Here is a 20,292-nt window from a genome sequence, read left to right as displayed (position 1 = left end):
CTGATGGCCATTTTTCACTAGTTTCTTCCTTCTAGGATAAATGGGTCATTAGGCACCCACACTGTGACCTTCTGTTACTATTACAACAGATGGTTCCCAGTGAGCACAAGGTGATATACTTCCTCTGTCCACGTGGGCCCAGGTAACCAGTCCAGACCCCACACCTGAGGGGCCTTAGGAACACTCTTCCACCAATTGGTGTTGAACCTGACCCCCCAGCGACCTGTTGAAATCCATTTCAGTCGCCAGAGCTCTCATTTCTATTAAAACTCCATTTGCCAAGAAAGCGGAAAGGTAATTATGAATCCTAGTCTTAAATCACTCCGCTGCTGAATTATTAAAGGGAAGAATTAAAAATAATCAGGCTTTTTCATTACACTTCATAGCAGGGAAATTAAAGGTGTAAGAATGTATTTTTTCCTCGAATTTAAGTATTCATTTTGGAGATTTATAGGGGAGTTGAAATGATTCCCTGCGTGCCCAGTTCTCCCCTTTATGAAAGGGGGAAAGAGAAAAAACCTTGTAAAATTAAAAGGGAGATAGAGCGAAGAAGGGATTTAACATAAAGAAGTACAACTGAGTGCTTTGCATTTTAATACATTTTTTTCTGCACAATTAAACCATTGAGTGATATGGCAGAGAGAGATTAGGCGGCTGCTAATTTCAGATACTGGGTGGTAAAATGGCAAGCGGGTCTCCCCAGTTGTTGGGTTGGAAAAGCATGCTGGGGCATCAGAGCTGCCCTCAGACCCCAAAGCCTGTGAAAGGCAAGGGCCATTTCCTGTGCCAAGCCCCCCACACCCTCTTTTCTTCAGGGGAGAACAGGATAAGGGACCTGGTTCATTTCACAGAGCAGAAAACCCAAGGCACCAAGGCTGGGGAAAGCAGCGGCCTCAGAACCAGACGGGGGACAGGGACACAGAGAAGAACTTTCCAGTGAGTTGTCAGATCTGGAAGATGGAACAGAGAGAAGGTGGGATGCCTTTCCCTCAACACTCATTTCCTGTACCCCCCCATCATGGATGAGTGCTGGAAACAGAACCGCCCAGAATTTGGGGAGAGACAGGAAGATTCTGGAAGGCATTGGTCTTCAGAACCAAATCCCCAGACCAATGAGATGAAAGATTCAATGCAGGCCCATCCAGTCAGGAGAATGCAAACTAGACTTCCCTAATTCAAGTGAGAAACAGGTGTAAACTCTTCATCTCGCTGAGATTAGGTACAGAAGGGGAGGAAATGACAGCCTGGGCTGACCTGGATGGGATCCATCCAGTGCCACTTCTGGGAGCAAGGGAGCAGGACAGTGAGCTTAGAGTTTGCAGGCAAAGAGGTGGTGGGTCTTGAGCACCTCAATTCTTCCTGGATTCCAGCGGCTGGGGAGCGCTGTGTGCCTCTCTTCCTTCTGGGGACAGTGAGGACTAAACAAGAATAGAGAGTGCCATTAACACATGAGCATCACTGGCAACAGCTGGGTAGTCCCAAATCGGACCCAGGGGAGGGTGCTGAGAGTGACTGGCCCCATCCAGATGTGCTTCAACAGCTGGCCTGCCTCTCTGTGGGGAAGCCAAGCAGGAACACCTCTGTCCTGCATCCCTTCCACCCATATAGCAAAGGCTGAACCAGGAAAGCGGCAGGGAGAGGGCCGGCCCCTCCCCCAAGGAGCTGGGCCCCAGAGCCGCTCTGCCACCTGCCCCCTCCCCAGTGGTAATGAATTGCAGGGAAACGCTGCTGAGAGGTGTCAGAACAATTTCTATTAAACATAATTTCCTAATGAAAAGGTTACGACGGAGCCCGGTGGAGCTAATCAGGATTGAATGTTCACTCCAGCCACTCTGAGGGAGGGGGCTCAAGGCCGGTTCTTGGTTCCACCAGGTCTGGGATGGAGGGAGGAGGCCCTGGGGAGGGGGAGGCCCTAAGCAGCTTTGGATGCCTCCCGCCCCAGGTCTGCACATGCTGTTATTGAGAGCGGACCAGTGCCAGGCACTGTGCTCAGTGCTGTCCATATGTCATCTCATATCAGCCCCGCAAAATTGATACAATTGTTCCCATTTTAAGGATGAGCAAACTGAGGCTCTGAAAAGCCACATGACTTGCCCAAGGTCGCATCCTTAGAAACTAGGAGGCAAAGCCAGGGCTGGGCCCGGGTCTGTCTGAGGGAAGCCGGGCTGCACTGCCATCCTCCCTTCTCACCTTCCAGGGTCCCGCTCACCCTGTGTTGGCAAAGGCCTCTGAAGAGCAAATGCAGCCCTGATCATGGGGCAGGGCTGGGCAGCCCCGGAGCAGCAAAGTCTGTGTGACTCCTGCCAGGTATCCCTCTGTGCATACCCCGCTGTCTGTAAGGAAACTGGTCACCGACTCTAAATGGTTCTGTGACTCCTCCAAGGCTGGCCTGGATCCCTGCTGAGCCCAGAAGGGGCATGTTTGTCAATACAACCAACTTGGGTGCTGAGAGCCCTTTGAGGCTGTAAACAGGGGGCACTCAGCCTGTGCGCACCCCCTTTCTGGTCCCAGAAATTGTCCCCCAGTCAACCCTGCCACTGAGCAGTGTGTCCCCAACTCCTCCATTGCCATAGATCTGGAATTCTAAATTCCTACATCAGGGCTGTACCACAGGTGGGGCCCAAAACTAAGAGAAAGGAGGAGGCCTTTTTAGAATGTCCAGAGACTCCTCCTAAGCCCTCGATTATAAACTCTTTAGAAATGGCCTTGGCCCCTGCTGGTGGGAGGTCGGGGATGGGGGGATGGAACAGGAAGGGCAAACAGGGTGCAGATCTGAGGCTGAATGGTAATGAGCCCTATTCTCATGCAGTTCAGAGGCTTCAGATACCACCAGGGTCCAGTTGGGGACAGTTTCAGGAACAGTGGGGCTTTGCCCTGCTAGAGCTTCTGCTGATGTTGAGATACCTCTTTGGAGGGAGAGGATATTCCAGGTGTGACCTTGGGGATGGATACAGGCCCTTAAAGACTGCATCTGAAAACCCTCCAGGAATCTCATCACCACCCATATATGCTGGGGAGATGGGGATGAGTCTAGAGGAGGGGCCCACACTACAGATTCTACCCTCCCCCACCACCACTTCCCATCTACACCTACCACCACCTCCCCTGCCCCTCCCTGACCATCCTTCCACCCATCTGATGAGCGCCTCACCCCAAGCAGGGTGCATCTCCCCATCCCTCATTACGATGAAGCTGTCACCGACTGCCACACGCTTTCCCTGGACCTTCAAAGCTGGGAACAGTATGAAATATGCAGCCGCCTTCCCAGCTCCCGCTCCCCCCACCCTTGGCTCCCTCCCTTGAATTGCTCCACACAGATTAAACTCAGATGTCGCAGCTCTGACTCAGGACATTCAATGCTGCTTCTGCCTCTAGGCAAGAGGCACTCACTTCCTGGTGTCTGGGGTGCCACGGACCCAGGCCCCTCCACACACACATCCGCCCCATAAGGCCATCTCATCTAAGCCCACTTAGACAGAAGACTTCCTGGCAGGGCCATCCAGGTTTTCGCTGAGAACAACAGTGGTTCTCAAAGTGTGGTTTCTGGACCAGCAGCATCAGCATCACCTGAGAACTTGTCAGAAATGCAGATCCTCAGGCTCCACCCAGACTTCTAGAATCAGAAACTGGGGAGGGAACCAGCAATTTGGGGTTTAATGAGCTCACCAGGCAATTCTGATACATGCTTCAGCTTGAGAACCATTGATCTAAAGCTGGGTTCAGTCAATATCGAGTCAACTAGACGGAGGTCCCCTGGGAGCCCAGGACTGTGCTAAGACTGGCAGGGAAGAAAGCCACCACCTTCCCTGCACGGGCCTGATCAGTGGCAGGCAGCAGGCTCAGCCAGAGAATGCTGGAGGCCACAGAGGGTGCGAGCTGCACACCCCGTGGCAGGGAACAGAGACTCCAGGAGGAGGAGGGGAATAAAACTAAATGTAAATAATGGGGCCAAAATGTAGGCATGAATGGGGGCCAGTAACTCCAGCAGGCCTCTTTATGCAGTGCAGTTACTTACCAAGTGCTGTCATATTCTCCCTCTCGTTGGGAGAAGAGTGGAGCAGGAGGGATTATCCCCATTTTACAGGGGAGACAGTAGAGAGGAGAGGCGCCCTATCCCAGGCTTCAGGGCAGTCAATAAGGAACTGGGCTCGGTTCCTCTGACTCCCATTCTAGCGCCCTTTCCAGGCCGGGGAAGCTGTGGGAGGGCCTGAGCCTAGCAGTTGGCAGGATCTGGAGGAGCTGAGGGAGGTTTTGGGAAATCCTGGGGGGTCGGCTGGAGAGGAGGCAGGAGTCAGGGGGCATCCTGGCATCATGCCTGCTGCCCTCATCATCATCCACAGCACTGCCTTCCTCATCAGTGTCCCAGCTAGGACAAGTTTGCCACAGCTACAAGTGACAGAAAGCCAAGGAGGAGAGGCGAGTGGAATTTGGCAGGAAAGAGGGAGCAGCCCATCTTCTTGGGGAGGAGGGTCCTCATGAGGGCCTCAGGCAGGTCCCTCTGGCTGTGGGCAGAGGACCCAAAGGATGGAGAAGGGAGGCAATGGAGGCTGCAGCCAGTGGCCGGGCATGGCCTGGACTAGGATGGTGGCTGTGGGGAAGGAAGAAAGTGGCGCAGGAGGAGTGGAGGGCCAGTAGATAGACACACGGGCCGCACCATTGACCCTGGGGAATGTCATATGTCTTCTCCTGGCCGCCATTCTCCCCATTCCCCTTCTTCATGTCATCTCACAAGAGCAGGCCCCTCAGGAGGAACCCGCCATGGGAGAGAAGAATGTGACTCCGCTTTGCAAGTTCTCTTCTCTCCCTGAGCTTTCCCCAGTGTCTGGCCTTGGGCACAGGGAAAGTCCAGACCAGCCTATGGGGCCATCCCCATCCCATCTGCATCTCCCAGCCTTGGTCAACCTCTCTTCCTCACCTCTCACCTCAACCCCCACTCATCCCTCCTGACACTGCACCCCACACTGCCTGTGTCCCCACCGCCTGCACCTCACCTCCTTTAGAAAGCCTCTCCCCTCACCGTCCCCAGCCTCTAGGACTCAGCAGCCACAGGACTTGTATTTCATTCCCAGCTCTTCTACCTGTTATCTTTGTAATGGATACAAAGGCCCTTCGGCTTCCTCAGCCCCGCTCAGTGAGTGTTGTGAAGGTCAGCGAGGGGCCTGGTAATGGTAGGTGCTCAGGGTCTGGTACTTCCTGTGCTACCCGGGCCTCCTCAGCATCTACCTACAACTATGTGAATCATATTCCACAGAGACAGGTGGGCCTTGCCCCTATGAAAGTTTCCTCCACTCTTCACTCCCCACCCACACCAGCATGCAGCGTGGACCAAAGGCACAGGAGGCAGGAGCCAGAGCCTCTCGGCAGGTGGTGCACAGTGGGAAGAATTCAGAGCTCTCCATGGCCCACCTCTATGTTTTGCCTTGTAAATGATGATGACATCTTCTCTAAAGACTTTCCCTCTTGGGAGAATATCGTCAATGCTGACACTGACATGAATTTGTCTGATGGTGAGGGCGGTAGGGGCACACAGCCAAGTTCCTGGAGAGCAGGGGCAGCACAGGACACATCTCTCTACCCACAGCGCTCACCACAGAGGCTCTGCCACATTCATAAGGAGGGAGAGAAGAGGGGATGGGCCAATCCTTTGCCCAAGATCAAGTCTTTAGGGCTCAGGTTCATTCGGAAGTTAGGGTAAGAGGTGAACTTCAGACCAGTACTCGATTGGAGACTAGAAATGAGAATAGGGTTTAAGATTCATATTAAGGAAGGGATGATGATTCGAGCTGTACTTCAGATTGATATGGATTCAAGTCTAGATTCTGGTGAGAGTTCTGTTTAAGGTGGACTCTAGGGACTAGGTTATTGTTAGCCCTAAGGCTCAAGCTAAAATGCATCTTAGCATTAGGTGTGTCTGAAAATCCTGGGGCTTGCAGCAAGGTTCAGTGCTGTGGGCTGGGGCAGAAGCTCTGCAGGTGACAGGCCTGACAGCCAGCTGGAGAGGTAGGTGTGGCCAGGCAGCCAGGGCCAGATAGGCTCTGAGGCCAGCACCGTGGACAGCTCCAAGGGAAGCACCTTAGTAAGCCAAGAAGCCACTGAGATGTTCCCAGCTGCCAACACTGACCCCGGGAAGACCAAGATGGCACCATATCCTCCAGGGAGTTGGGGGTCTCTCATCTTTGGGTCTTTGTGTTAACCGCAGAATCATTCTCCTCTTAGACCCTATATCCCCTGGGCCTAAAATCGGATTCTAGTTGAGAAAGCTCTGGTTTGGGCCTTTACAAGATGACCATTTTCCTAAAAATCAAAGTTCTTCAAATTCAACCCTTGACTACCAGATTCACTCCACTTTGCATGGCATAACTTATTTCTCTGATTTTTCTTTCTCATAGAGAAATCAGGGAGCTCCTCAAACATGACTCTTCTCTCCCTCCTCGCATCTTCCCCTCATCTCTGGAGCCCTCAGAGGTAGAGTGGGACACAGGTGAGGGGCACTTGGGCAAGCAGTGCACAGAGTCTGATTTCCTCCCAGCCCTGGCCAGACAATCTCCTCTTTCCCTTCAATATTGCCAGATGCCATGTCACAAGAAGAGGTGCTACGGAGCAGCGACAGGCTGAAGGAAATCAGATACTGCCCACACTCAGCCCCATGTCCTGCAGGTCATAGATAGGCAGGACTTCCAAAGCATACCAACCCAGCCCCTCAGAATAGGGGACAAGGTCACCAATGTGAACTGACCACCTACTTTGTGCCAGACCTAGTCAACATTATCTCATTGCATCATAAAACCAGCCCGAGTGTAGTAGGTGAGATTACCCCCTTTTAACTGATGAAGAGACTGAGGCTCAGAGAAGTTAATAACCTGTCCAGGGCACCTCATTAGCAAACAGAATACCTGGGATTTGAGACCAAGTCTGCCTGACCCTAAGCCTGTTGACACAAAACCTTTACTTTTTCCACCATACCATGAACTCCGGTTGTTAGAAAGGCCTTAAAATCAACTTGGCAAGAACCCTCTGCCTTTGTACCAGATGACATCATCCATCACTAATTCTGGCCTGGGTCTCCACAGGTATAACTGTGTCTCTTGGATGCTGAAGGCTGGGAAGAGGGGCTTTGTCATCCGCCCAGGGTGGTCCTCCCTCTAGGGCTTGGAAGCTCAAGTGAGCAACCCCCCTGGTGGGCAGGTGAACCTCATGGTTCAGGCGGTGGCCAAGCAGTTCAGCAGCGTGGCTTCCTCTGAGCCATTTCCCCCAACAGGGCACCTTCAGAGGACAAATCTGCATGTGCCAGGGGTACTGCCTGAAATCACCCCCTAGGGAGGGAAAGTGGAAATGGTCCCTGAACCCCTGACTCCAGCTCTGGGGAATCTAGCCCGCCCCGGGAGGTCACCTGGGTTGGGAGCAAAGGTGAGGCAGCCTCAGCGAACCAGAAGGCACCAGGCTGGGAGGCTCTGGGGGAGCAGCGAGCTGGAGCCTGGCGCTCCTCCTGTCCCTCTGTAGTAATTAACAGGCCTTTGTTCCTGTCCCTGATCTCGTCTGGCAGAGCCTTAATCATCCTCTTGCCTGCAATGAGCAGCCTTCTCATTAGGGCCTTAAGAACCTCTATTATAAACATGTAAATGGAACTCAACGAGGAGGGAAATATTTGACTGCTCCAATTTCCTTTGTGCCGCTGCCAGCTCTGGGCTGCGCACGCCCGTGATTTCATTGCTCAGCAGCCAGGTGCCAGCCGCTGCCCCCACCGCCCCGTCACACAGCTCCATCTTCTCCGATTGGAATTTAATTACCTTCACCAGCGAATGTTTGGAGAACCTCTCTCCATCAATTGATTCTGAAGTCAGATTTTTATTCCGAGATACTTAATGGCACTTGGGCTGATGGAAGCCTGGGAGCAGGTGGACCTGGGCCACAAGGAGCCCTTTAACAACAGGGTGAGGAAGGGTCATTGCGGATATTCCCCTGCCTCTGAGCAGGTCAATATTTCAGGCACCCCAGACAGTTGGAAGTATCGCATTCCTGAGCCTCCTGCTGGTCTGGACTGGAAGTTCTTTCTGATGTCTGCTTGATGCTGGGTGAGCCTTTTTTTTTTTTTTTCAAAATTGTAGTTTAGCCCTTGATGAAAAGGAGGAGCCCCTTCACTGCCTGAGAAAGAAGCTGATGATAGGATCAGCCTCTCCTAGGGGTGTGATAGCTCTTGCCTGTCACGGATGAGATGGACGTGTGCTCCCTGCAGGCCCGTGCAGCTGGGGCCTGTGGCGCCCCCAGGATGGTGAGCCCTTCTTGTGCAGAAGTCTCCCTGTGCCGAGTCCTCCTTCGGCACACAGTAGATACCTAGACATTCACTGCCCCCGTGCCTTTCTTTTCCTTTTCCAAATTGGAATCTCTACTCTGCTCATTCTTCAATGCCCAGATCACTTCCCTCCTCCACGAGGCTGCTCTCTACCATCAGGCCATAGTGATCTCTCCCACCACTAGCTTCAGAGCATGCTGTCTGCCCACTGTTTGTCCATTTAATGGATGTCACCTGCGTGAAACAGGGCCTTATTGGCCCACAGTAAATCATAGGCATAGGTTGCATATGTTGCCCAATTTGAATAAATGAGTGTCACTCCTTCAGGGTGCAGACTTCCCTTTCACTGCTGTATTCCTCACTGCCCTCAGCACAGTGCCTGGAACATTCAAGAAAACTGGGTTGCTGGGGTAGCAGGTAGGTAGGTAGATGGGTATTCTGGTCAGAGGACTGCAGTTGGTGGGGTGATGAAATGGTGGAAGGGTAGGCTTGTTAGCTGATTGGTTGGTTGGTGGATGAGTGGCATATTGGTTAGTGGGTTGCAGAGTTGGTGGGGAAGCAAGAGAACAGGTGTGCCAGTTATTACTGAATTGCGTCTCAGCTTCACATGTACTCTCCGGGGTCTGGTCTGTGATCGTGGAGCTAGACCCTGTCGATATTTCTCTTTAACCAGCTGGCTCCATGTTCGGCTTTCCCAGGAGACGGTGCTGGAGGAGCAGCACAGGACGAGGAAGGGCTTCTCTTGCAGGCTCCTCAGTGAGGTGTCCCGCAGCATCCAGCCTCCTGCAGCAGCCCAGAGAGTGGCCTGCCAGAGAGTTCCACCCACACCGGCACTTCAGCAAACTTTCCTGCAGCCAGGGCGCCTCGGCTGTACCATCTCTAACAAGGTTTGGGTCTCAGCCCTGGGTGTTGGGGTTGCGGGAAGACGCTTCCAGGTTTCTTCCTGCCTTCGATGCTCGGCCTCAGCCCTAGAGGTAGAAGTGTTCCTTAGGTAGGCGATCTCCTGTCATGGTTAGTGGGTGATCCCCTGTCATGGTTAGTGGGTGATCTCCTGTCATGGTTAGTGGGCGATCTCCTGTCACGGTTACTGGGTGATCTCCTGTCATAGCTACTAGGCGATCTCCTGTTATAGTTACTAGGCAATCTCCTGTTATGGTTAGTGGGCGATCTCCTGTCATGGTTAGTGGGTGATCTCCTGTCATGGTTACTGGGTGATCTCCTGTCATAGCTACTAGGTGATCTCCTGTTATGGTTACTAGGCAATCTCCTATTATGGTTACTAGGAGATCTCCTGTCACAGTTAGTGGGCGATCTCCTGTCATGGTTAGTGGGCGATCTCCTGTCACGGTTAGTGGGCGATCTCCTGTCACGGTTAGTGGGTGATCTCCTGTCACGGTTAGTGGGCGATCTCCTGTCACGGTTATTGGGCAATCTCCTGTCACGGTTAGTGGGCGATCTCCTGTCATGGTTATTGGATGATCTCCTGTCATGCTTAGTGGGTGATTTCCTGTTATAGTTAATAATTCTTTATATTAAAGCTTTCTGTTCACAGCACTGTGTAGCTTCTATCTCCTGATTGGACAGTGTGGTAATGAGTTGGTTGGTGAGTTGGCTGATAGGCTGGTTAGTGGGGTGGTTAGATGGTGGAAGAATAGGCCGGTTGGTAGATTATCTGGTTGGTGAATTGGTATGTTGCTTAGAAGGTTGCTGAGTTGGTGGCATGGCAGGGTGTAGGGTAACAGGTAGAGTGGTGGCTGATGGATTGGTGAGTGGGGTGTGGCTTGGCTTGTTGGTTGGTGTACTTGGCTGGTTGATGGGTTAGTTGAAGGATGGGGTGATGAGCTGATGCTTCAGGACATGGAGTTAGCATCATGTCAGAGGGAAGGACGAGTCCCAGGGAGGCCCCTAAAGTGCTGGTGGGTCTCAGTCTCCATTTCTGCCCTCTCATAGGGCCAATGCTGCTCCCCAAGCTGGGACCCTCAGAGCCACACCATGGCGGCTTGGAAGGTGGCAGGGCTGCAGAAGAGGCTGTGGAGGAACTTGGAGCGTGACTCCAAAGGACGACAAGCAGAGGAACCCTGGGCATGTCAAGCCTCCCCTGTGCCCCTTTACCACCCCGTACCAGGGCCCTGCTTCTCCTGCAGGCTCTGAATAAGCCTCCAAGTTGCCGCCAGATTGCCCAGCACCCAGATGACTTTCCAGCAAAGAAACTTAAGGATGCATAGTCCTTCAGGATGGATTTCTGCCTTTGCCCCATGAAATCTCCCGAGATACAGACCCCAGAGCATGGACCTCTCTTAGGTACTGGGCCACCCTCCTACCCCAGCCGGGCTTAGAATTCTTCCCAGTGTATCCCCCCCACCCTGGTCCATCAGGACCCCCAGATCCTCTTCCTCTCTCAAGTCAGTCTCTGCCACCTCACTCTTCAGCTGTCCTCTGTGCTGTGACAGTCCTTCTTACCACATCTCCCCTGGCTGGCCTGTCCTTGAGGCTTGGGCTGAAACCATCAGCAAGACCTTTGTCTCCTTTCCTACTGGCCTTCCCTGCTCCCCACCCGTAGGTCCCCACTCCATGCCTTATGGGTGGTCTGGCCCACACTCCAGCCAGAGCCACCAGGACATTTCCAAATTACATCCTTCAAGAATCAGGAAGAGATTTCAGAAGGAAATTGCTTTCTCCCCTGCTCAGTCCAAATGAGACTATTTTTTACTTGTCTTGCCCCTCCCCCACCTCTCTCTCTTGCAATTTCAGTAAAAAATGAGAACAGTAGAAAGCGGACCCCCTCGTTGGTCAGCCTTTCTCCCTCCTGAGGTCTGCAGAGGCCTGAAGGCATCAGCTGGGCTAGGGCAGCACCGGCTCCATTCCTGCGGACAGGCTGTACTCCAGGGCTCCATAAGCCCAGAGGCCAGGTCCGGGGAGCTGCAGGAGAGGGCAGACTTGGGGGACAGGGGGAGCCTGTGGCTAGAGAGAGTCAGGCAAACCTGTGAAGTAGGAGCCTCACTTTGTCTCCTGATGCCCCTCTCCCTCCAGGAATGTCCTCCATTGCCTCCAGGTCCCTACAGGTCTCAGGTCAGAGGCAAGACATCCAGGACATCTAATGCTCCATCTATGCCACCTGTGCCAGGCCTCTGAAGGTCACCCCTTCAAGAAAGCACCAGCCTGAGTCAGGGGGCCCGAGCTCCAGCCCTGCTCAGAATGCCACTGCTCTCTCTGCTTCAGTCGTCTCACCCAGAAGTGAGGCCACCTCCAGAGTTGGGGCCAGGATCAGATGGGATGATGCAGGTGCAGGCGCCTTGTAAAGAGTGCAGGCTGCTGTTTGCTGACCACTCATGCCGTGCCATGCCCTGTGCTGAGTGCTTAAGTGTGTAATCTCATTTTGTCTTCACAAGAATCTTCCAGGAGAGTCTATTGTCATTTCATCTAAAGAGAAGGGATCAAAGCTCAGGGAGGCCATGGAACTGCCTAAAGGCACACAGCGGCCGAGACCTCAAATCCCTGTTCTTAACCCTGTTCACACTGTGTTGTCAGGTGCTAGTCTGAGTTTTGTTAAAGGTACCTTTGAAGAACTATTGATATGGTTAGGCTTTGTGTCCCCACCCAAATCTCATCTTGAATTGTAATCCCCGTAATCCCCACATGTCAAGGAGAAAACAGGTGGAGGTAACTGAATAGTGGGATCAGTTTCCCCCATGCTGGTATCATGATAATGAGTTCTTATGAGATCTGATGGTTTTATAAGGGGCTCTTCCCCTTGGCTGAGCTTCTTCTTCCTGCCACCTTGTGAAGAAGGTGCTTGCTTCCCCTTCACCTTCCACCACGATTGTAAGTTTCCTGAGGCCTCCCCAGCCATGCGGAACTGTGAGGCAGTTAAGCCTCTTTCCTTTATAAATTACCCAGTCTTGGACAGTTCTTTATAGCAGTATGAAAATGGACTAATACAATTATCACCCCAAGAGATAAGTGCAGGAGGAATTTCAGGCTGTGCATGTGTGGAGGAGACACGGGGTTGAGGAGAGCTTCTAGAATTCCTCAAATGACAATAATAGTGGCCAACTTGTGCAGGCTGTGTGCTAACCTGCACACAGTTAGCCTGCACAGGTTAGCCACTATTATTGTCATTTGCTAGCCACTCTGATGCTGTGGCTGACTATGTGCAGGACTCTGCTAAATTCTTTCTCTTGTTAACTCATTTAATACTTACCATCCTCTAAGACAGGTACTGTTATCATCTCCAGTGTGCAGATGGAAAAGCTGAGGCACAGAGAGGTGGCTTAAGGCATTCAAAGGCATGTGACTAGTTAGCCTCTGCCCCTTACAGCCTCAGCCACGACACCGAGGGAGCTACTTCTCCTCCCACTGACTCCTCTTCCTGAACCAGAATGTACCTTGTGGGAGTTGTGGGACAAGGAATAAATGGGGGGCTAATTGTCAGAATAAGAACCCCAGACCCAGGACCCACAGTGAGGATGGGGATGTCTCTGCCCTGACTTTCAGGTCAAAATCACCTTCTCTGTCTATCACACCCCTCTCCCCCGACACCCAACATAACACCTATAGTCCATGCTGTTCAAGGCTGTGGTGCTGAAGGAGGGGGTGTGGACTGGGTACCCTGGGACACAGGGCTGCTTGGCTGTTAGTCTCCTGGTTCCTCCCACCCCACCCCGGAGCCTCCCAATCTCCCTCTTGAGTGTGTCCCATCTCTGGCTCTCTGTGCCAGTTGCCCTTGTTTCCCTTACCCCCATCCATCCCTTTTCCTGGCACCAAGCTTCAGATTGCAGGGTCACCTCAGCCACTGGACAGTCACAGGGAGCCAAGGACAAAAGGACCAGTGACATCACTTGGGAATGAGACCAGGAAGTTCAAGCCTGGCTGACGGGGCCAGGGAGGGGAGAGCTAACCAGGAGATGACAGGTTCACCAACCTGTCAACAAGAGTGTATCTAGACCCAGCAATGCTAGGCTGTGGCTGAGCAAGTCACATGGACTGTTAACCAAGGGGTCTATCGGGGCAGCAGCAGCAAGGGACCTCCCCTGTAATGCAAGACTTCTGTCACCTCAAGCTTCTTCTCCAGGATATGTTCCATCTGTACTGGGGAGGGGGGAATTCTCCAGACAGAGCCAGCGCCTACCCCCCTCCCCTAACACACACGGTTGCACTGGGCATGCATCCTAATAAGCAGTCATTTAGGCATATTTTGCTGCCCTAAAGATTTTGAAAATCATGTAAAAGTATGCATATAATATGATAAGATGTAACACATAAATGGATGATGTTCAATCAAAGCCAAGACTGGTGGGGCCTCATCTTCACGCCAAAGTGAGAGGGAAAGCAAGGTCCAGGAAGGGAGGAAAGGAGGAGGCAGTGGCCAAAGACCCAGAGACAGAGTGAAGGGACAGAGCTAGCGACCGAGAGGTTCCAGAGAGAAACAAGGCGCCTCAACCCGGCAGCTCCCCAGGCCTGCACTGGGCCACCAAGGGCTCCACATGCTCGTCATGAATTTCCCTTTTCTGTCAAAAACAACCAAGACACAGGGAGAAGAAGCATAGAATAATGAGGTGAGATCAGAGGGGATGTTTTTGTACTCAGAACATTTCAGAAAATTGGCTCTGAACATGGGGGCAGTGACCACAGAAAGGAAAGCAGTGACAAGGTCCTCAGAATCCAAGAGACAAACGCTCCCTGGGAGAAAGGAGTGGTGTTTACTTGCGTGTTCATTACCCTCTACCAGCAGCGAGGACAGTGCCCAGCACACAGTAGGTGCACAGTAACTATATCGAATCATTGATGAATGAACACCAGCTTTTCAACACAGCTAAGGTTTTATTAGCCCTTAAGCCTGAGGAAAAAAATACATCCCCCATGGGTAGTTCCAAACAGGCCACTGATGAATGGGATGGGCAATTCATCCATTCATTTATTCATTCACCCATTCATTTACCCTCCAATATGTGTTGAGCCCTTCCCAGTGCGCACTGCTCTAGGATGAATCAGTGGACAAAACATAAAAATTCCTGCCCTCAGGGAGCTTTTGTTGTGTTGGCAGAAGACAGTGCAATAACACAGACGAGCAATGGGCTGGGGTGTGAGAAGGTCATGCATGCCATGGAGGGAAATAAAAGGGACAGGGTCAGGCAGCAGACTTGCAGGAGGTGAGGGAGGGAGCCAGGCAGCCATGTGAGGAAAGAAAAATGCAGAGGCCCCTGGGGGAGCCTGCGGGTAGTGCAGGTGTGTGAGTGTGTGGGTGTGCGGGTGTGCAGGCATGTGCGGTAGGGATGGCTGGCACGCCTGAGCGAGGTGCAGGCAGTGGGGAGGGCTGCAGGGCAGCAGTCTGGGCTCCGGGCAGTTGAGAGCCTGGCTTTCCTGGGAGCAGAGGCAAGACGGAGCCTCTGTGCTAAGCAGGGACTGCAGGGGCCATGGAGGGACCCGAGGCAGGGCGGGTTTGGTTGGGCTCTGGATGTATTTGGAGGGTTGGCGGCAGGACTTCCTGGCTGATGGGGAATAGGGTGTGAGGAAAGGCGGGGAGTGCAGTGCTTCACGGTGCCCTCACGAAGCTTCCACACTAAGCGCAAAGGGGAGTTTGCTGCAGCTGCCTCCCCACACCCCTTACCCCTGTCCCCACTCCTGCCCAGCACAGCCCAGGCCAGAGCAGTTCCCCAGTTTTCATCTCAGCCCAGCTGGCACCCTCTGACCACAGACCCCCCGCGGAGATGTGAGCACTGCCAGCCTGGGAAGGGAGGCCCAACCTGTCCCCAGCGCCCAGGTGTCACTGCCTCATTAGCTCTGTGCTGGGCTCCTCCAGCACAGGACAGCAATGTGTGTCTGTGACCCCAGTGCCACCACACAACACACACACATGCTCACACATGCACACACACTCATACACACGCACTCTCACACACAGCCGCTCACACGCCCTCATACACTCGAAATGCTCACACACATACAATTTTGCATCCTCACATTCACACTCATACATTTATACGTGCTTTCATACTCACATACACACAGTCACACCCACACACAAGGGTGTGTATTTGCACCCCCATAACGCCCATATTGCCACGCACACTTACTCCTTGGGGCTCCCTGGGTGAGTAACCCCATTAATTCTCTTCCTTCCATGTTAAAAAGAGGAGGCTGGGCCTGCCTAGAATCACGTGGCTTATGACCGTTTATGGCTCATAGACCCTGCTGAGAACTTGGTGAAAGCCAAGGATCCTCACCCCCATTCTCTCTCACACTCACACTCACACACACTCACTCTTGCACACATGCACACACATCACATTTGGTTTTGTGTTTCCAGGGCTCATGACCCTCCAGAAGGCCCTCCACAGACCTGGGTTACGAACACTGGCCAAGACACTGTGGTGGAAAGGGGAAGGACTCTGTGCAGGACCTGTGCCTGGCACTTCGCAGCCCTCAGCTCTGATCCTGACAACCCAGCAACACCAAGGCAGGACTGGGCCAGCCAGCCCCAGCCTCCCCCAGACTAGGACCCCCCACACCCCTCAGATTCCTGGGACCCCCTCCTCCATGCCCAGCCACTCTGCCTTGCTTCCTCAGCTTGCTGACTCAGAAAGGCTTCTGGTGCATGGAAGGCAGTCGAGAGGCCTAAGAGGCCCTCCTGGCATCCAGGCTGAGCCAGGCGCGGCCAGTGTGCCCCAGGACCTAGCACCTTGTGGGTCCTAGAGCCGCAGGAGGCGGGAGGGAGGGAGCAGGAAGCTGGCATGCGAAGCAAGGATGAAATATTGATGCCTGAGTCCTGGTAAAGCAGAAAGCGCTGCTTGTCCATGAATAAAAAAGCGGGTCGGAGGAGCAGGCTGGGCAGCAGATTAATTAATCTAAGTGAGCGCTCGCTGTGCTTTGTGCCATGAGGGAGGGTGCCATGAGGGAGGGTGCGTGTCCCAGCCACAGACCCAGCAGTAGTCCTCTGTACCAGGCAGGCAGCTGGGCCACACCAGAAACATGGGCAGAGCTGAGCACCAAGTCCAGACAGGCGGGAGGGGCAGAGGCAGCAGACCCTCCAGGACCAGCCTGGGCCTCTCTGCCCAGTGCCCTGCCGGGCCACCCAAGATGACAGCTTCCCCGGCAGAAGGAGACCCAGAGACAGCTGCTTGGAGGGGCGAGCATTGGCAGGACAGGATCTCTGGTGATGAGAAGCATCCCGGGCTCCTGGGTCCTTCCCAGCTGTCTCAATCTCCCCCTCGGGGAAACTGACAGGACCAAGGTAAAAGAGGGGGGAAGGTGGGGAGAAGGGTGGAGGCAGCAGGTCTAAGATTTGGCACAGGAAGTTGGCTGCAGGCTGGGCACTGCACTGATGTTGGCAGGGATGGTAGCCACAGGTCTGTGAAGGCGAAGGGTTGGAGGGTGTTGGAGCCATTCCACCCTCCCCAAGACTCATCCCATGCTAACCCAAGATCCTGACAGCTTCCTGCCTGGGCATAACCTGGAAAATGCATTGGAGGAAAGTGGGCCACAGGTTGATTGGACATGGTGCTGGAGGTCTCACCAGGAAACTGTGCCCACGACCTCTGCATTTTTTCTCATCCCCTAGATGTAGCGGCTTTCACAGGCTCTTGGCAGTTTTGTTTCCCAGAAGTTACACTAGGACTTTGCGGGCAGGGTGGTGACGTCCGTCATCATGCTCCCCATCTTCAGAGTCCAGCAGAAGTGTCCTAACTGACCCCTGTTCCCAGGGGAGGACCTCCCATCCCAGTGGTACGAGCTCCCCCATCCCCACCCCAACCAATGCTCAGTGGGTCCAGGTGCCCTTGGCTCAGGGCACCTTCCCGCTCTGCGATGTCCATGCACAGCACCATCCCTGGAACCTTCTCTGGTCAAGGGCCAGGTCAGATTCCAGGGGGCCTCGGCTGGTGCCAGCCCCAGTCCCAGTCCCAGGCAGGCGGCAGACACCCTCCAGCCCACCCTTCCTTTCAAAAGCCTGAACCCTGGATCACAGTCAGGAGCAGCCTCTGGAAACCAGCCCAAGACCAGGCCATGGGGAGAGGACATCAGTGGGGGAAAGAGGCGCAGCGGGCCTCATTGCAGGCTGGTTACCTCCACAGCCACGGCCATGACCTCTGCCTGCCTCCTGGCCCCAAGCCTGGCAGTGACCTCCCTGGACCACACAGCCCACTGCTTCTCTGGCGGGGCTGGAAGCACTTCCTATCTGTCCTGCTCGCTGGGCATTTATCACCGGCAGCCTGCCCACACCTCTTGTGCTTTGTCTCATCTTTGTTATTTAACTTTGTTTCACGTAGGATTATTCCTGTCTCTCCCATTAGTTCTCAGCTTCTGGAATGCAGGGGCAAAGTCTTTTTCATCCCTATGGTTCCCCCAATCCCCTACACAGCACCAGGCCCTTGAGAGCCACGTTGCACAGGTGTCGGAGTGAATGCATGAACATGCGGGGCCTGGGGCAGCCCCTTGGGTCGGACCCCAACGCCCAGCCAGCCCTGGCACTGCCCACTGCCTCAATGGGAGCTGGCACTGGCCAAGGGCACCTGCTCCGCACCTGCCCAGAACCAAATGGGATTTTACAAGTATCTAACCTTCCCCACTACCATCAAGGCAGGCGTGTCTCTCCCATCGAACAGATGACAACACTGAGGCTCAGCACTTGCCCAAGGTCACCCAGCCGACAAGTAGCAGGGCCAGGAACGGCAGCATCCTCGCTGGCACCTCCAAAAGCCAGCTGTGAGGAGCCCTGAGCCGAGGGCCTCTCCTGGCTGCTGAGGAGGCTCAGAGCTGGATGCAGGCCAGGGCAGGACAGGTCCCATGGCTGAGAGCAAGAGCAGGCGGGCACGGAAACCTCACCCCTGTCCCAGGGCCCAGGAAAGACTCGGGCGTCCAACCAAATCCACTCGGCTTCCAGAGGCTGCCCCGGACAGACGTCACCGGGCCTGGGATCAGGGTGGTGTTGGTGACCCTCACCAGCCCAGAAATAAGCACAGGTTCCCCGGAGTCCTGCCAGAGATGAGAAAGGCAGCAGGTTGACCTGGGGGCGCACACGGCCGTACCTCCGCGCCCCCCACCCGCAGCGCGTTGCCTCCGAAGCGGGAAGTCCCAGGTGCATTCATTCCTGAGAAGAGGCCGGGCAGCCGGAGCCCGCCATTTCTGCAGTCACAGCGCCACCTCCTGGCCGACCGCGGCGTGGCCGTAGGGGCCGCTCCACCATCGGAGAACTTCCAGACCGCAGGCCTTGAATCAGGCATCCAGCAAATATTGACTCAGCACCTCCCTTGGGACAGGAGTGATGTTAGAGGTTGGGTATACAGTAGTGAAGAAACAGACTAAAAGCCCTGCCCTTGCAGAGATTACATCCTAATGGGGGAAAGAGGTAATGCATAAGTAAGGTCAACACGTAAAACAGACGGTGTATTAGAGGGATGAGCACCCAGGAGAAAAATAAAGCCGGAAGCGGTGAGTAGTGTCAGGGAGGCTGTGGTTTTACACAAAGTGGCCAGACACGGTCTCACCCAGGCAGTGACATTTGCGTAAAGCCTGGGAGGAGACGAGGAGAGAGTTGAGCAGACTTCTGAGCTAGGGCATCCCAGAGAGCAGGCACAGCAAGCGCGAAGGCCCGAGGCCTGCCTGGAGGGTCTGAAGAACAGAAAAAGGCCCTGAGGATTATGTGGAGGCTGGAGAGGGCAGGGGTGGGGGCAGACCCTGAAGGACCCTGTGGGCCATGGCGAGGGCTTTGCCTCCATGACATGGGGCTTCATGGCCGGGCTCTGAGCAGGGGGATGGCGTAACTAGCTTGTGTTTTAAGAGGATCTCTCTGGGCACTGTGTTGAGAACAGACCGTGGGGTCAAGGGTGGAAACAGACATCAGTTAGGAGTCCACTGCAACCTCCAAGCACCTTGGCCCTGGGGTAGCAAAGACAGTGGGGAGGTGAAAATGGCAGGATTCTCCCAGGTGTAAGAGAGAAAGGAGTCAAGGACGATGCCAAGGCCTTGGCCTTAGGTAGAGAAAGAAGCTGTCCCAGTACTGTCTTTTGCTGAGGCTCAATGGGAGAAGTCAGGAGTTCCGTTTGGGAATTGACGGTCAGAGTTGTCAGGTGAAATGTCACGGGGGCTGTTGATAAATGAGTGTGGAGCTCAGAGGAGAGGCCCTGCCTAGAGCTACAATCCGCAAGTCATCAGCACTTGGGTGACATTCAGAGTGAGACCGGATGAGATATCAGACACTCTGAAAGCAGAGCGAAGGGACCAAGGAGAGAGCCCCAGGGCCCTCTGACATTTCCAGATCAGGAAGATGTTGAGGAATTGGGGAGAATGAGAAGGAGGAGCCAGCGAAAGAGAGGACACCAGGAAGGGGGGCTCCCAGGAACCCAAGTCAGAAAAGAGGAGGAAGCGACCAACCACGTAAAAAGCCACTGATCCTTAAGTCAGGGCTGAGAAAGGTCCCCTGGGGTTAGCAATGTAGAGGTCACTGGTGACCTTGATTGTGGTCAGAGTGGGGACAAAAGTCTGACAAGAGTATGTTCAAAGGAGAATGAAAAGAGAGAAATCAGAGACAAGTTGAGACAATTCTTTTGTGGGATTTTGCTGTAAAAGAGAGAAGAGAGATGGGGAGCTAGCTGGAGGGGCCGTGAGTCAAGAGAGTTTTTTCAAGGCGGGAAAAAATACGAGCTTGCCTCCATGCTGACGGGTGATTGGGGTACAAAGGGAAAAACGTATTGAAGGAGAGGTCAGGGAGAAATATGAGAGTGCTGTCCTCAAGCAGATGAGAAGATCTGACTGTGCTTCCAGAGGAGATGCACTTCACAGCCGCCAGAGGGCTAGAATGGAACACCAGGCAATCACAAGAATGGGGAGAAACTGGAACCCCCAGGCCCTGCTGGTGGGAATGTAAAATGATACAGCCACTTTGGATAACAGTTTGGCAGTTCTTCTAAAAGTTAAACCTGCAGTTACCATATGACCCAGCAATTCTACTCCTAAGTATGTACCTAAGAGAACCAGAAACATACAACCACACAAAAACATGCACACAA

General features: G+C 53.8%; 1 long non-coding RNA gene across 1 annotated transcript in view, besides 1 other annotated feature; it reads right to left on the bottom strand.

The window, feature by feature from the left end:
* Positions 1-734: 734 nt before the first annotated feature.
* The window catches only part of USP2-AS1 (USP2 antisense RNA 1), a 117,456-nt gene continuing 97,898 nt past the window's right edge, over positions 735-20,292 (bottom strand). The window contains exon 4 of the long non-coding RNA NR_034160.1: positions 735-1,418. This is a non-coding gene — a long non-coding RNA (USP2 antisense RNA 1). The remainder of the gene's footprint in view (positions 1,419-20,292) is intronic.
* Positions 1,039-1,898: an enhancer, noted in NCBI's record as "H3K4me1 hESC enhancer chr11:119368781-119369640 (GRCh37/hg19 assembly coordinates)". NCBI's record gives its function as "activates a minimal SCP1, AML or CMV promoter by ChIP-STARR-seq in naive H9 embryonic stem cells {active_cell/tissue: H9 hESC(naive)}" and the evidence as "EXISTENCE:reporter gene assay evidence [ECO:0000049][PMID:30033119]".

Source organism: Homo sapiens, chromosome 11 (genome assembly GCF_000001405.40).
Source record: "Homo sapiens chromosome 11, GRCh38.p14 Primary Assembly".
Classification (NCBI taxonomy): Eukaryota; Metazoa; Chordata; class Mammalia; order Primates; family Hominidae; genus Homo; species Homo sapiens.
Note: the sequence above shows the minus strand (reverse complement) of the source record. Positions and strands in the feature narration are given on the sequence as shown.